The 16474-nt window shown below is 37.5% G+C and overlaps 1 protein-coding gene across 11 annotated transcripts in view, besides 5 other annotated features; it reads right to left on the reverse strand.

Moving 5' to 3' along the window:
* Positions 1–278: part of a meiotic recombination region, noted in NCBI's record as "this region was identified as a recombination hotspot within the HapMap YRI population", that runs on past the window's edge. NCBI's record gives the evidence for it as "EXISTENCE:nucleotide sequencing assay evidence [ECO:0000219][PMID:20981099]".
* Positions 1–338: part of a meiotic recombination region, noted in NCBI's record as "this region was identified as a recombination hotspot within the HapMap CEU population", that runs on past the window's edge. NCBI's record gives the evidence for it as "EXISTENCE:nucleotide sequencing assay evidence [ECO:0000219][PMID:20981099]".
* Positions 1–539: part of a meiotic recombination region, noted in NCBI's record as "hotspot J2 sub-region crossovers mapped in sperm cells of males of European ancestry", that runs on past the window's edge. NCBI's record gives the evidence for it as "EXISTENCE:DNA detection assay evidence [ECO:0005519][PMID:18650392]".
* Positions 1–1151: part of a biological region, named in NCBI's record as "meiotic recombination hotspot J", that runs on past the window's edge.
* Positions 1–1151: part of a meiotic recombination region, noted in NCBI's record as "meiotic double-strand break mapped by DNA meiotic recombinase 1 chromatin immunoprecipitation followed by single-stranded DNA enrichment and sequencing in the germ cells of some male individuals with the PRDM9 A/A, PRDM9 A/B and PRDM9 A/C genotypes", that runs on past the window's edge. NCBI's record gives the evidence for it as "EXISTENCE:chromatin immunoprecipitation-seq evidence [ECO:0000229][PMID:25395542]".
* Positions 1–16474, reverse strand: part of DNAH5 (dynein axonemal heavy chain 5) — a 321491-nt gene that overhangs the window by 50447 nt on the left and 254570 nt on the right. For all 11 annotated transcript variants that reach the window (XM_017009177.2, XM_005248262.4, XM_047416886.1 and 8 more), the window contains 4 exons: positions 13429–13564; positions 12459–12775; positions 11360–11515; positions 10304–10486 (listed from right to left, as the gene is read on the reverse strand). In XM_017009177.2, coding sequence (XP_016864666.1) covers positions 10304–10486; positions 11360–11515; positions 12459–12775; positions 13429–13564 — 792 coding nt within the window. The remainder of the gene's footprint in view (positions 1–10303; positions 10487–11359; positions 11516–12458; positions 12776–13428; positions 13565–16474) is intronic.

Genomic DNA, 16474 nt, shown 5'->3' on the forward strand with positions numbered 1-16474 from the left:
CACATTCTCAGTAAGCCCCACTGTGACCACCCTCTTTAAAATGCTAGCCCACCAGCTGACTCCCCAGCTCTCCCGCTCACCAGTGTCTGTACCTTTTATGGCATTTACCACCTTCTAACATAATACATAAATTATTTATATGTTATGCTCCAGGGATAGTTTGGTCTGTTAGTCTATTTTGTTCATTGATAAATTCCTAAATTAGTGAAACAAAGCCTGGTACGTAGTAGGCACTCCATTAACACTGCAGATTGAATGATTAAATGTTGCATCTCTTTTCAAATTGATAAACTGAAACACACAGTGAACTGGAAAATCTAGTCTTTGTGCCAGAAATGCAGATGTGGAAATGCTCAATCTCTGAAAACCATGACATTAAAAATAAAGGAGGTGTTAACAAAACTGCATGAAGGCAAACAGCAAAGACCCCTGGCCTCTGCTTTATGTTTCAGCCAGTTAATCACCACTGATTGAATGGTTATAGTTGGTAAGACCCCACCAGACTCACAACTCATGCTCTGAGCACAGTGAATCAGGTCTGCGGACATTCGAGGAAAGGAAGAATTCCCTCTTTAAGCAAAACAGAAGTTCAGGTTTTGTGTCAATTCTTAATTCTTTAAGATGTAGCAACTCAAGCAAAACTTGCTCTTATCATCTTTGTTTCCATCTGTTATCTGGTTACAGATGAAAGCTCCCTTAGTGGTTATTTCAATTCATTGATTCACTAGATGAGAATTTCAAATTTCAGAAAATGTAGAAATTAGTACAAACAAGTGACATTTAATGGCTGCTATAAAATTAATTTCCATAAGCAGTTATAATAAAAGCCCTCACATTACGGTTGTACTAGGAAATAAAAGTGATAATGAAAATTCAAACAATTTTTATTGCCATATTTATAAATTTCACACACTATCACTATCATTTCTGAGTTCCAGAGGGTGAGCATTTAAAGGTCTTCACCTGAAGACAGGTAAGGGAAGAAAAGTAAAGCAGTAGAAAGAGTGATGGTTTTGACATCAGGAAGACATATGTTTGAATTACAGCTCTCAAAACCCTTCAGCCACTTGACATTTGCCATGTTTTAAAACTCTGCAAGCCTCAGTATTTTCATCCACAAAATGTATGTAAAAACTGCTCATAGGATTATGGTGAAGATATCACCAGTAATGCAGCTAAAGTAGTGGCTGGATTATGATAACTGCTCAAAATGTCTCTTCCCTTCCATCTTCTCCCTTGATTCATTTCTGGCCAAATTTTCAGAAGCATGATAATGCTTATTGTAAAAATAAGTAGTTTGAAAAATCAAGTTGAAATGTGGCACAAAGTAAATGATAAATGATACTTTGAATTTCACATATTATCATAAAAGTGCATAATAAAGTAGCTGAAAAGGGATAAGAAAGGAGAACTTAGAATGATAAGGACAAATACTTTTGTTTCAACTGGGAATGAGAGCATGGACTATCAAACTCAAAAGCAGAACCAGGTCTTATCAATTCTTGCTGCACAAAAACTTTTACCTTTCTGCCCATTTTTTCAACCACATAACCACTGCCCTACTTGAGAATTTACTTGTCATTCATGGACTACTCTAACAAAACTGGTCTTCCTGCTGACCCTTTTCCACTCACAGTCACTCAGGAGATCTCCCTTACCTATTTTGAAAGGTCCAAAAATTCTCAATATAGTTGGCAAAACCTGTCACAATCTACTTTTCTAATCTTATTTCTACTTGAGAACTATGAATTGGGGTTAAAATCATGCCTCCATGTTGCTTATGAAACAAATATTAATAAAATAAACATAGTAACGATGTATACAATCAGTGGCAAACCATTCAATTCTTGATAAAGCAAAAATAGTAACTAAAAAGATTGAACATTATTGAGATGGCTGTAGTCAATTTAATATCATTGTTAACAAATTTGTCGATTAAAGCAATTGCCTATATTCCCAAAGGATTAAAATAAATCTAAGTACATTTCCCCAAAGTTTGAAACGGATGAAAATAAAATATACTAAGTAAACAGTATAATTGAAAATACTATTTGGAATCCCAAAAGCAATCTGTATATTAAATAGAAACAAGTGGCCAAATACTTGGGCTCTAGAAAGTTATTGGCAAAAGAAAGTTTATCTGAGAAAAAAAAATAGAACAATTGTTGCTTGGTTTTTGTTCAAGGTTAAAAGATTGAAAACCTACTTATGGATATGGTTATAGGCATATTTTCATTTATATGGCTGATTTAAACATTTGTATTAAACAATTACTTTCATTCCACCAATTCATAAGAAGAAGGTAAGACTTTTTCAGATTAATATGATGAGGCAAAATTAATCACAATAATTTTATCCATAAGTCTCCTTCCCACCAAAGGGATTATCTCTTAGCAGGCAGATAGATATATTGATAGATAGGTAGGTAGATAGAGAGATAGATGATAGATAAAAGTAAAGATTTGTGCTAAGTGTTCTATATAAATTCTAAGGCTACAATGTAAAATTCTTATATAAACTGTGATATATTCCAAAGGGAATTTTAAAAGTAAGAAATAGATCAAAGATCTAAAAGTAAGACCTGAAACTATAAAACTACTAGAAGAAAACATAAAGGAAATGCTTCAGGACACTGGTCTGGGAAAAGATTCTATGAATAACACCACAAAAGCACAGGCAACAAACGCCAAAATAAACAAATGGGGTTATACCAAAAAGCTTCTGCACAGCAAAGGAAACAATCAACAGAGTGAAAAGATAACTTATGAAATGGAAGCAGTTACAAACTATTTATCTAAGAGGGGATTAACATCCAGAACATACAAGGAACTCAAACATCTCAACAGAAAAAAAATCAATTAAAAAATGGGCAAATTATCTGAACAGACATGTCTCAAAAGACATAAAAATGGCCAAGAAATATATGAAAAAATTCTCAACATCATTAATGGTCGGGGAAATGCAAATCAAAACCAAAATGACATATCATCTCACCCCAGCTGGGTTGGCGATTATCAAAAAGTCAAAAAATAACAAATGCTGATGAAGATGCAGAGAAAAGGGAACTGTTAAACACTGTGTGTGGGAATGTAAACTAGAACAACCACTATGGAGAACAGTATGGAAGTTCCTCAAAAAAGTACACACATGGATACACACACTGAAACAAATAGAACTACCACATGATCCATCAATCCCACCACTGGGCATTTATTCAAAGGAAAGGAAATCAGTGTATCGAAGGCATGTCTGCATCCCCATGTTTACTGCAGCACTATGCACAATTGACAAGATATGGAATTAACCTAGGTGCCCAACAACAGATGAATGGATGAAGAAAATGTGGTATACATACACAATGGAATACTATTCAGCAATAAAAAAGAATAAAATCCTGTCATTCACAGCACCATGGATGGAACTGGAGGTCATTATGCTAAGTGAAATAAGCTAGGAACAGAAAGTAAAACACTACATATTCTCACTCACATATGTAAGCTAAAAAAAAAATGTTGATCTCATAGAAGTGAAAAGTAGAACAGAGGATACTAGAGGCTGGGAAGGGTAGGGGAAAGGGTGAGAGAGGGAGAGATTTGTTAAGATACAAAATTACAGCTAGATAGGACAAATAAGTTATAGTGTTTTATAGCATTACAGGATGACTGTACTTAATGATTATATTATATAATTTCAAATAGTTCGAAGGAGAATATTGAATGTTCCCAACATACAGAAATGATCAATGTTTGAGATGATGGATATGCTAATTACCCCAATCTGATCACTATACATTATATTATGGAAATATCACTATGTACCCCATAAACATGTACAATTACTATATGTCAATTAAAAATAAAATAAAAATTTACACGTACAGGGTGGTTTGGTAAAATTTCGTGAACATAGCATTTGTTAATTAAATGATTTTTTACTGTAAGTAGCTTAACAAAGAAGCAAATGAAAACTAAACTTATTTGTGTACTTAAACTGCATTTATAACCAAAGTTTTGAAATCAGTAAAAGACAAACGGCAGCCAGAGTTCTCATTCTTAAAGGTATCACACAGCCTCCATTACCAAATATTATTTCTCTTTTGTACTTTACACTAGTAACCAAAATAGAAAGATTAAACAAGAGAACTCAGAAAGAGATTTCTTTTTCCCCCACCACCAGTGAGCTGGTGATAACGATGTCTGTTTAATGTCCTTCTTAAATTACTTCCCATGTCAGTTTCACCAAGTTCAGGTACTTGCACCTCAAAAGGAAATCACACACCTGTTTGTTCATCCAGAATTCTGAACAATGATGATCCCTGAGGCCTTGTATTGTGTGACCAGCAGGAGCTATTGATCAACATTGGCATTTTTCTCCCAATGGAACATAGATTTTTTTTAAGTTTCCATTTTATTCTCTATGATCAAAGTGAGAGTGAGTCTAAGAGATTTGGTTTCTATAAAGGAAGGTTGTTGTAGGCCTACAACATGTTCAAAATGGTCTAGATACATCACCTTCTGGTAATAGCAGCAGAATGTCCAAATCTACTCACAGGTGCATCAGATAAACAATTGGATATAGGCTTGATGTGAATTTGAACAGCACATGCATTTAAAATGACTGTTTTGAAGCACACAGAAAGTATAACTCTGTTAAAATTCATGCTTCCTTGCATCCATACGCTCTAAGGTTTACACGTGTTTCTGAAGCAAACAAACCTGAAGGTCTAGCAGATATACAACTGAACATTCATGAGACCCGATTATGTGTGATAATAAGGTCCCTCATTGCCTCTGTATCCCTAGGACACAGAACAGCTGATGAATTTTTGGAGTCAAAGATTTGTCTTTCCCTTGCATGATCAATTACTGTTCAGAGTCTCCTTTCACAAGACGAATCAACAAACCTATGAAGTCATGACTCATCCCCACTGAAGAGATTCAGCCTCTGTTTCAGCCCCACATTCCTTAGATGGTTTCCAACATCAACTTCCTATTCTGTTTGGGATATCCTATCCCTTCCTGTGTGTAATCTTCCTAACGTCAACAGCTCTCCTTAAATCAATAAAATTTCAAATTGATATTTTATATTTATAATCACCCAAGAAGTGAGATTATAGTCAAAGACACTGCATTGTCACTGAAGTCAAAGGAATAATTTGGACTGTATTTTTTATGATTTCATTTATTTTTTACTTTATTTTCCATTACTTTAAAAAAGATTGAATCTTAATACAATTAACATAATTACTTCTTTGACTTATAAGACAACATAAAAATAGTTTTCATATAACATCAATATTACTGAAAAAACTTAAAGTTTAAAATACCTTATTTCTTTTTATTCTTAGAACACTTTTACTAAGGAAATGAGTCAAACTTCTCTGTTAAAAAGCCACTGAGAGCAATTCTTTCTGTGTGTAATGATGTTTGCAGTTTGGAGAAGCTCTTACTAGGACAATGCTGTGGAGAGAGAGGATGGGTTGAGACAGCTTCCTGGGAGGAGACCTGTGCTCAGTCTCTAATCATGTTCACCTAGAATCCAGAAGCTTCAGGTTGCTGCTTCTATTAACAGGTGAACTCAAATCTATTTGTTAGGTTACTAAATTTGTGGAATTACAGAAGGCCCTGAGTTTATTATACCTAAGGGTGATATCTGAATGCATGAAAGAGGGAGGACAGGCCAACACACGGTTTGCAACTGTGCACTACAGATCCCTGGGCACCTGGCCTGTTAGTAAGAGAAGTCAGAATTTCCACAGGCCTATGAAGCATCATATCTTGGGTGAATAACTAATATGTATCACTATATTTATGGGGTAGTGACTCTTAAACCCTCTTATTTTAAAATTAAGATTTACAACAGGTAGGATATGAAATATGGGAGGCAATTAGTATTAACAGCAAATATTTGATTCAGGTTGAGTTTCTCCCAAGTGAGAGAAAAGATTGGCAGGCAATACGCTCATGACTCTGTTAAGCAAACAGGCTTGATCCATTTTCTTTTACCCTTGGCTCATTTTTTTTCTATAAAATATCAATAATTGTCCTTTGAATAAATTTCTAGCAGAAACAACTTGAGAAAGTTTAAAACTATGTACTATCCTTGTTTTTTTTTAATATATATTTTTATTATACTTTAAGTTCTAGGGTACATGTGCACAACGTGCAGGTTTGTTACATATGTATACATGTGCCATGTTGGTGTGCTGCACCCATTAACTCGTCATTTACATTAGCTATATCTCCTAATGCTATCCCTCCCCTCTCCCCCCACCCCACAACAGGCCCCAGTGTGTGAAGTTCCCCTTCCTGTGTCCAAGTGTTCTCATTGTTCAATTCCCACCTACGAGTGAGAACATGCGGTGTTTGGTTTTTTGTCCTTGCGATAGTTTGCTGAGAATGATGGTTTCCAGCTTCATCCATGTCCCTACAAAGGACATGAACTCATCCTTTTTTACGGCTGCATAGTATTCCATGGTGTATATGTGCCATGTTTTCTTAATCCAGTCTATCATTGTTGGACATTTGGTTTGGTTCCAAGTCTTTGCTATTGTGAATAGTGCCGCAATAAACATACGTGTGCATGTATCTTTATAGCAGCATGATTTATAATCCTTTGGGTATATACCCAGTAATGGGATGGCAGGGTCAAATGGTATTTCTAGTTCTAGATCCCTGAGGAATCGCCACACTGTCTTCCACAATGGTTGAACTAGTTTACAGTCCCACCAACAGTGTAAAAGTATTCCTATTTCTCCACATCCTCTCCAGCATGTTGCTTCCTGACTTTTTAATGATCGCCATTCTAACTGGTGTGAGATGGTATCTCATTGTGGTTTTGATTTGCATTTCTCTGATGGTCAGTGATGATGAGCATTTTTTCATGTGTCTGTTGGCTGCATAAATGTCTTCTTTTGAGAAGTGTCTGTTCATATCCTTCGCCCGCTTGTTGATGGGGTTGTTTTTTTCTTGTAAATTTCTTTGAGTTCTTTGTAGATTCTGGATATTAGCCCTTTGTCAGATGAGTAGATTGCAAAAATGTTCTCCCATTCTGTAGGTTGCCTGTTCACTCTGATGGTAGTTTCTTTTGCTGTGCAGAAGCTCTTTAGTTTTGTCAATTTTGTCAATTTTGGCTTTTGTTGCCATTGCTTTTGGTGTTTTAGTCATGAAGTCCTTGCCCATGCCTATGTCCTGAATGGTATTGCCTAGGTTTTCTTCTAGGGTTTTTATAGTTTTAGGTCTAACATTGAAGTCTTTAATCCATCTTGAATTAATTTTTGTATAAGATGTAAGGAAGGGATCCAGTTTCAGCTTTCTACAGATGGCTAGCCAGTTTTCCCAGCACCATTTGTTAAATAGGGAATCCTTTCCCCATTGCTTGTTTTTCTCAGGTTTGTCAAAGATCAGATAGTTGTAGATGTGTGGTATTATTTCTGAGGGTTCTGTTCTGTTCCATTGGTCTGTATCTCTGTTTTGGTACCAGTACCATGCTGTTTTCGTTACTATAACCTTGTAGTATGTTTGAAGTCAGGTAGCGTGATGCCTCCAGCTTTGTTCTTTTGGCTTAGGATTGTCTTGGCAATGTGGGCTCTTTTTTTGGTTCCATATGAACTTTAAAGTAGTTTTTTCCAATTCTGTGAAGAAAGTCATTGGTAGCTTGATGGGGATGGCATTGAATCTATAAATTACTTTGGGCAGTATGGCCATTTTCACGATATTGATTCTTCCTATCCATGAGCATGGAATGTTCTTCCATTTGTTTGTATCCTCTTTTATTTCGTTTAGCAGTGGTTTGTAGTTCTCCTTGAAGAGGTCCTTCATATCCCTTGTAAGTTGGATTCCCAGGTATTCTATTCTCTTTGAAGCAATTGTGAATGGGAGTTCACTCATGATTTGGCTCTCTGTTTGCCTGTTATTGGTGTATAAGAATGCTTGTGATTTTTGCACATTGCTTTTGTATCCTGAGACTTTGCTTAAGTTGCTTATCAGCTTAAGGAGATTTTGGGCTGAGACAATGGGGTTTTCTAGATATACAATCATGTCATCTGCAAACAGGGACAATTTGACTTCCTCTTTTCCTAATTGAATACCCTTTATTTCTTTCTCCTGCTTGATTGCCCTGGCCAGAACTGATATATCTGTGTTCATAAGGCACACATAAGACTCTTTCCAATTGAGTAACTAGATTGTAGGAAATGACCCAAAAGCAGCAGGGATCAACTCAGACCCATCTGCACCACCCAGACTGAGAAGGTCCAGCAGTGTTAGCAGATTCAGGAATATGCTGGGAAGTGAAGAAGCTGCAAAAGTAAAAGCCTCTTAGAACAAGCATACTGCTGAAAATCCATGAAAATGAAGCCCAGCAGCTCACTTCTTCTATCACAAGACCTCATTTTGGGAACAAAATAAATAAAGGTTAGGCGTTATAATGCTGTTCACATTATAAAAGAAAACGAGTGTCTGTTATTATGAAAGAAAAAAAATGAGTGTCACATTATTCTGGCTGATCATTTTGTAAGAATTATTTACTGTGAGCCCAGAACAGATTCTGATAATGAGATAATATTAAAGGAGTAATTCTCTCAAGACACTCAATTTTCCTAAGAAGTAAGAAAAAGCCTGGTCCTGCATCCATACTGGCTTTTCAGGGCTGCTCCAAGTGTTTTCAAATGAGCTTAACAAGCTCCTTATTTCATCTTAAACCTCTGCTACAGGAATTAAGGCCCAGTGATGGGCTTATTTTTGTTTTTGTTGTTGCTGTTGCTGTTGTTGTGTTTTGCTGCAATCCAAGTCTGTCAGATCAAATTATTTGTTCCAAGGAGACTGTATTCATTCAGTTGAATATAAGAAAACCAAGGACAAGAATATTATTCAAACTGCCATCAGGGCCCCTTATCTCCATGAAGCCAAGGCTACAGGTGGAAGGAGAGTCTCAAATACCAGTGACAGAGGTGGCCCAAAAGACCCTCAGGAACTTCCACTTGCTCCAGGTCACATGCTATTGCTCAAGAATCCCAGTCCCGCCTGAAGTAATTACATGACAATGCTAAATTTCCTTCACCACCTCTATTGAGATTTAACTCGGGACTCAAAAACTAAGCAAGTACATATTTTGAAGGCGGTCATTACCACAACAGCAACCCAGTGGCAGGAACCAGAATCAGTATCTGCCATTCTGAGATCACTCAACCATGCGATTTATGAAGCTGGATTAAATGCTCCTAATGCAGCTTCCAACTTTATGACTCTGTGATTCATGTGCTATAAATTAACAATAATGTTCAGGAAAAGGGAAGGGAGAGAGAAGGGGAGGAAGTGGAGGAGAAAGAGATAGACATGTGGTAGGGCTCAGACGGGCAAGCACCGTACAACACACAGAAAAGGTACAGACAAGGGGAGGGACAGACCCCAAAGACTTTGCTGACTGTATTAACATAAATAATCTTCAGGTCAGCGTAGAAGGTGCCATAAAGTTAACTAAATTCCTCATTATTATCGAACCCAGGAGGAAATCAATAGCAATGTTAAGAGTTCGTGCAGTTTCACCATAACATTCCCATTAAAATCTTCCACGTTTCTTTGCTGAAGCCTCACATACTCCCTAAAGAAAATGCTCACTCGAAAGAAGGAAGTTTACAAATGTGTGCCCATTTTTCATTGAGCATTAAGTTATTCCATAAAACAGAAGTAAAGAAGGCAGACATGGAGTTATGTTTCATTAGCATAATTAAGTCAGTAGCCTTCAAAAGTTACAGAGTGAAACTCAGGTGGCACAAACTTCTGTCTTCTCACATCAGATCCCATCAGGACATACTACAGGGCTCTCTTAGATCACAAATGAGAACTGACAATGTTGTTTGTTATGAGTACAAAGTTCTAATTTTATATTCTAAAAGCATAATAATGAATCAAATGAAAGAAAAACCTAGATGTGTACTAGAAAATTAAAAGTCAACAGATGAGTTGAATTCATAATAGAACACACTTTTCAGAACAATCAAGTAATTTAAGAACAAAGTAATGATGCTGAAAATGAGACTGATTCCTCGTAGTTTCATCATCAGTCTGTATAAAGGCAATCGATGACATACGTAATTTATGAGACATTTGTGAAACATATGAGTAGATGACTGGTTAATAATTTCCTTTAGGAAAAAAAGAAAACACTTGGAGATTAATGGAAAAAAACACAGGGAATAAAAGGAGAGAAACTCAGTCCTATTACAACTGTTATTATCTTATTTTTGTCAATGAAATATGACATTAAAGCAATGCAGAATGGGAGGGAGCCACACTTCACTCACCTGCTTCTCTGTGAGAATGACCCTCCCCAGTAACTGATCTTCTAGACCTTTCATGGTGACAGTGAAGTCAATGATGGAGGTACGGGCACTTATCTCAGGGGTGTAGGCTGGGTTAGGCAATTTGGTGGTAATGTAGAGTCTAAAGCCATCCAACACATCTACTTCCTTGTCACCAACTTTCACCTTTTTTATAAAAAGAAATTTAAAAGTAATAAAATAGAGATATACCTTACTGTGTCTTTTTTGTATCAGATCAAGTATTGTTTTAAATAATTACATAATTGGAGATCATTTGTATACTAAAAAAGAAATGGTCATGAGGCGTCTGCACAGCTTCAGACAACTAGGATGAAAGAAAGGAAGCAAAGAAGGATGGGAGGAAGAAACATATATATACACACATATATATAATGGACTGAATATAGAATTTAACACCAAAATTGTTATGATCACATTGCAGGAGTGAGATGGATCCCTTACCCAAAATTCAGTTCACAGGTTGAGACTGATGATGCTACACATGCACCGAAAGAGTATAAAAAGGTTTATTACTCACTTGATAAGATTTTGGGAGAGATCAGAGCAGGTTCCCAAACAGGTCCCAAAAACCGGCTTGAGAGAGCAGGGAGGGGCAGCTGCTCTAGGGCTTTGTGGTGTTTAGGGGGTAGAGCTGGGGTGAGGGTTCCCATACATAGGTGTGGACAGGGGATTGCATGGTTTGAATTTCAACCTGTGCCAAAGCAGGGGGCACCCAGGTTTTATCAGCTTGCCCAGATGTGGGTGGGGCAGAAGGGGAGAGGGGCATGGAGAGGCTTCAAAGCTGTCAGCATCAAATGCAGTCAGACCCTTTTCACATTACAAAAGTGAAGTCAATACTCCTAAAAGGCTTGCTCCTGGATATTTTAATCCAAAGTCAAGAAGTGTAGAAGAGAAAAACAAACCTTTCCCAAGGACTCAAATTTAAGTTGTTGCCTATTGAGAGAATTCTATCTGTGTCACATTGACCTGGCCTCATGGTAATTGTTCTGCACATTGTCATCCATAGGTTTAACCTACCTTAAAGGTAGACCCAGTTTTAATGAAGTTTCTTTCCAAAACATTATCTAGTGCTGGATCTAGTTCCTCTCCAACATCTTCAATAAGCAAAGGCCTTCCAAGAGAAAGGCTGTCTTCCAGGTGGTTTCTGAAGTACTTGTGATTTAAAGACGTGATCTAGGAACAGGATCACAAGGTTGCTATTGGCAGACATTACCATGAAGCAATGCACAGGGATAACTGTTTTCAAATGAAGCCTAAAGCATTCTACTGCAAGAGACAAATACAAATTGAGCATCCAAAATGTTCCCAAATACAAAACTTGTTGAGAGCCCACATGATGCCCACAGTGGAAAATTCCACACCTGACCCCTATGCTTTCTGATGGTTGAATGTACACAAACTTTGTTTCATGCATAAAATTGTTTAAAATATTGTATAAAATTACCTTCAAATATATGAAGAAGGTGTATATGAAACATAAATGAATTTCGTGTTCTGACTTGGGTCCCATCCTCAAGTTATCTCATTATGTACATGCAAATATTCCAAAATCTAAAATCTGAAACACTTCGGATCCCAAGTATTTAGGATAAGGGGCATTCAACTTTCATATAGATTTTTAGAGATCCTTGGCTTTGAAACCCACACTTGGTGAAATTGTAAAGAAGTGTAACTGTTTCCATTGTTGTTTAACAAACTATCATTTTGTTTTATTGGGAAGCATGTAAAGGCTCTGTGTGGGAACAATGTTTTTTCTTCACCACTACCACTTTTGTGACAAATAATAATGTAATAATTAGGAAGTATTCATGCAAAGTGCTGCACACTTTGTGTGATACAGCTCTGCCGTTCTGTACTTATCAAAGAGAGCCCTGGACCCTGACAGAATAGCCTGAAACCATTGAAAGATGGCATTGGTAGAGATCAACACAAATGCAAATAATGAAAGTTTTAGAAAATATTTTTATATTAGATTTAAGCTTGCATCTGCTACTGCTCTACCTAGGATTACAAAAACATCTCTAGTGTTTTCAAATATTTCTTTACTCTTGGATTTTTGTTTATCTGAGGCAATAAAACTTAACCGGTAGCATAAACATACTAAAACACAAATTACCTGGAGTTCATTTCGGCTTTCTTTATTTTTAATCCAGATCTTGCCTTGAGTCTGTGGATCAATTAACAAAGGGTAACGAGATGCCTTCGTGACAATAATTCCATTTTGAATGGACAAGTCATCATTTGGCAGACCTTGGAGGTTCCATTCACTAATAGTAGGAGCATCAATCAACATCTCACTGAGATTTAGGTTCTTTCCAAATGGAATTTTCCGGGCTTTCATTTCCTTCCGCCAGTCATTTAACAGAAGATCACGAAACTCTTGGTTAAATGGACCAGAATAAGATAGAAAAGCTGTAGCCAACAGTACATCCCCTAAAATAGAAAACAAACACCATTGAAATACTTTACGTTCATCCGTGTGATTGTACAGCATATTAAAAATGAAAAAAATTAAAAAGACAATAATTCTTTTAAACTAAATTCCACAAATCAAACTGGAGGCACAAGTGGCTGTGCTGGTGAATAAGCAGTAGTCTGGTTTATTAGTCAATAAGGTCCAAGTGGCCTACCAAGTGATACCTACTAGCAGTCAAGCACTGGATTATCTTTACTCTCATTAGAAGTGAAAAGATGACCTCTAAGTTTAAGAGAATAAAACCTCATAAGACAGAGCCTTCATTAAATGTGACCTTCATCAATATACCCATGCACTCACAGAATTCTAAAGTGACCTGATAATAAAAGGCATAAAGGTCGTTAACACATCTAATAAGGACAGCATAGATGCCAGAACAATGTCTCTTTCTCTGAAATGGCTGGAGGCACACACACACACACAGGAATTTTTTTTTAATTTTATTATTATTATACTTTAAGTTTTAGGGTACATGCGCACAATGTGCGGGTTTGTTACATATGTATACATGCGCCATGTTGGACACACAAAGGAATTTGATTAAAGTATAAGCTTTCGAATTCCCTATCACAGTCAACACACAATCTCATTAATAAAGAAATTTACATACCTACAAGTCTTTTAGTTTGTGCAGCAAACTCTTGGCTTTGCTCTGTCCATCTTTCTTTTTCACCTGCCAAGCCACTGATGAGCGTGGAAGCTGTCTGCATCTTGTGTCTGCATCGCTCTGCATCTTCAAGCAAGGTCTAACAAAGGTCATAATCACAAGAAAGCTTTTACTGAAATAAACATAGCCACTGGCTCAAAAATATAATTGTAGAACACGCCATATTATCTGCCTTCCTGAGACATGTGAGCCATTACTTCACAAGAAGCATGAGATTCTATTTCCATGTGTCTGTCAGCCCAGTCCTCTCTCCTTTGCCCTGTCCTCTCTCTTATCCCCTGCCCATGGAACTTGGCTGGATAGAGTTTCGCTCTTGTTACCCAGGCTGCAGTGCAATGGCATGACCTTAGCTCACTGCAACCTCTGCCTCCCGGGTTCAAGTGATTCTCCTGCCTCAGCCTCCCAAGTAGCTGGGATTACAAGCATACGCCACCACACCCCGCTAATTTTGTATTTTTAGTAGAGATGGGGTTTCTCCATGTTGGTCAGGCTGGTCTCAAGCTCCCAACCTCAGGTGATCCGCCAACCTAAGCCTCCCAAAGTGCTGGGATTACAGATATGAGCCACCGCACCTGACCAGTGCTTAGTTCTTAAAAACAAATGGTTCCGGTGGCTCACACCTGTAATCTCAGTACTTTGGAAGGCTGCGAGGTGGGCGGATCACTTGAGGTCAGGAGTTCAAGACCAGCCTGACCAACATGGTGAAACCCCATCTCTGCTAAAAATACAAAAATTAGCTGGGCGTGGTGGCAGGAACCTGTAATCCCAGCTACTTGGGAGGCTAAGGCAGGAGAATCACTTGAACCTGGGAGGTGGAGATTGCAGTGAGCCAAGATCGTGCCACTCAAATCCGCTCAAAAAAACACAAAAAGCAAAAAACAAATGGCTCTGTTTCTTAGTGTTTAAGCAACAATTGCTTATTCTACTTGTAAAAATCTAAACTTATGAAATAAAATGGGTATGTACAAAGGTGTAGCTACCTGACAAGTCACTGGGTGTTCAAATATATATACACATGCTAAATGTCTAACAATAGAGGATTATTTAAATAAATTATAGTGTATCCATGAATAAGAATACTCTGAAGCCATAAAAAAATCCTATAAAAATTTTTATGACCAAGAAAGCAGATCACAATATATTGTTAAAAATTCGATTTATAAAATGGCATTTCTAAATTATCAGTTATGTTGAGTTCAAAATGCATCTGAAAGGCATATATTATGATATGAATAATAACAGAATATGATTAATGTTCATCTCCAGGGTTACCTGTATTTTGTATAGAGACATGAATTGCTTTTGTAATAATAACACATTACAGTGTTTTTCAAAAGCAAGATATTTATTCCACTTCGTCCTAATCTATTTTCTTCCTCTGGAGTTAAGGCAAAAAAACTAACAGTCCATCGGAGAGAACCATCCCCCAACTACGGCTACTCACATCTGTTTGTTTCCCTCAAGAGGGAAGGTGCCAGCTGGGAAGGACAATCCTACATTGTTTATTAGAAAAAAAAAACTTTTTATTTGTAACATACTTTTAATATTGATTTGCTTTCTCTAAATTCTGCAATCCCAATTCCATCAGCCAAATCAGAAAATGACCAGTCCTCTCCCTTTCTGGCTTTTGTTTTCTGGAAGCCCAGGCTTCTTTGGGGGATTACAATTTGGGAGAAGAGAAAGGAGTAAATGTTGACAATGCAAGAGAAAGAAAGCCGTAAGTTCCGTGAGTTCCCCCCAGCCTGTTGAGGGGAGCACACGGGACTTACTGGGTTCCCTGAGTAGTACCCCCCTCCTCAGGCCCACTCTCTCATAGGTCCCAGAGAGGTGACTGGCTCTCCAGCAGGCCTAGGCAAGCTGAACCCTAGGCAAAGGCACTGGATTCTGCATGGGGCACAGCCAGGACACACTCTCCTTCAATGGGCCATGCAGGCCTGGGCCATGGTGAACTGCAGATTGGAACCCTTCTGCTTTCTGGGAGGCCCACAAACCCCTGGACTTTCATGGAGTCCTATGGAGGGAGAAGAGCAACAAAAATGACTGAAGATCAAGTTCAGAAGTTGGTTGTAGGTATGCCCAGATTTTTTTTTAATACGGAATTTGACATTTGTTGAAATTCAAGTTTTAGAGTTAGAGCCATGATGTTACAGTTCTTCTGTGGTCCCATGATTATTTACCTAACAAATAGCAGATGCTCAAAAACAATAAAGCTTGCTGAATGAGTTAAGGTAAAAATGTTAAAATGTACACATAATAAAGTGAGAAGGTAAAGTATTTTCACTGTGTTCAGTAGAGCTTCCTGATACAAATGAGCATCCAAAATGGTAGAAATTAACACTCCTTCCAAAGTAGATTCTTTCAGACTGCCATAATGTTTTCCATACATAAGTGAATTTTATGAGGCATAAGTATATAAACCCAGATAAGTGTTACTTCTTTTTTATAATTTCATTTTCATTTTCAGTTCAGGGGTATGTGTACAGGTTTGTTATATAAGTAAACTTGTGTCATGGGGGTTTGTTGTGAAGATTTTTTCATCACCCAGGTATTAAGCCTAGTACTTGTCAGTTATTTTTCCTGATCCTCTCCCTCTTCCCATCCTCCACCCTCCAGTAGGCCCCAGTGTGTGTTGTTTCCGTCTATGTGTCCATGTGTTCTCATCATTTAGCTCCCACTTATAAGTGAAAACATGTGGCATTTGGTTTTTCAGTTCCTGTGTTAGTTTGCTAAGGATAATGGCCTCCAGTTCCATCTAGGTTCCTGAAAGGACACAATCTCATTCTTTTTTATAGCTGCGTGGTATTCCATGGTGTACATGTACCACATTTTCTTTATCCAGTCTACCACTGTTGAACATTTAAGTTGATTCCATGTCTTTGCTATTGTGAACAGGGCAGCAATGAACATATTCACACAGGTGGCTTTATAACAGAACGATTTATATTCCTTTGGGTATATATCAAGTAATGGGATTGCTGGGTCAATGGTA

This window comes from Homo sapiens, chromosome 5 (assembly GCF_000001405.40).
Source record: "Homo sapiens chromosome 5, GRCh38.p14 Primary Assembly".
NCBI lineage: Eukaryota > Metazoa > Chordata > Mammalia > Primates > Hominidae > Homo > Homo sapiens.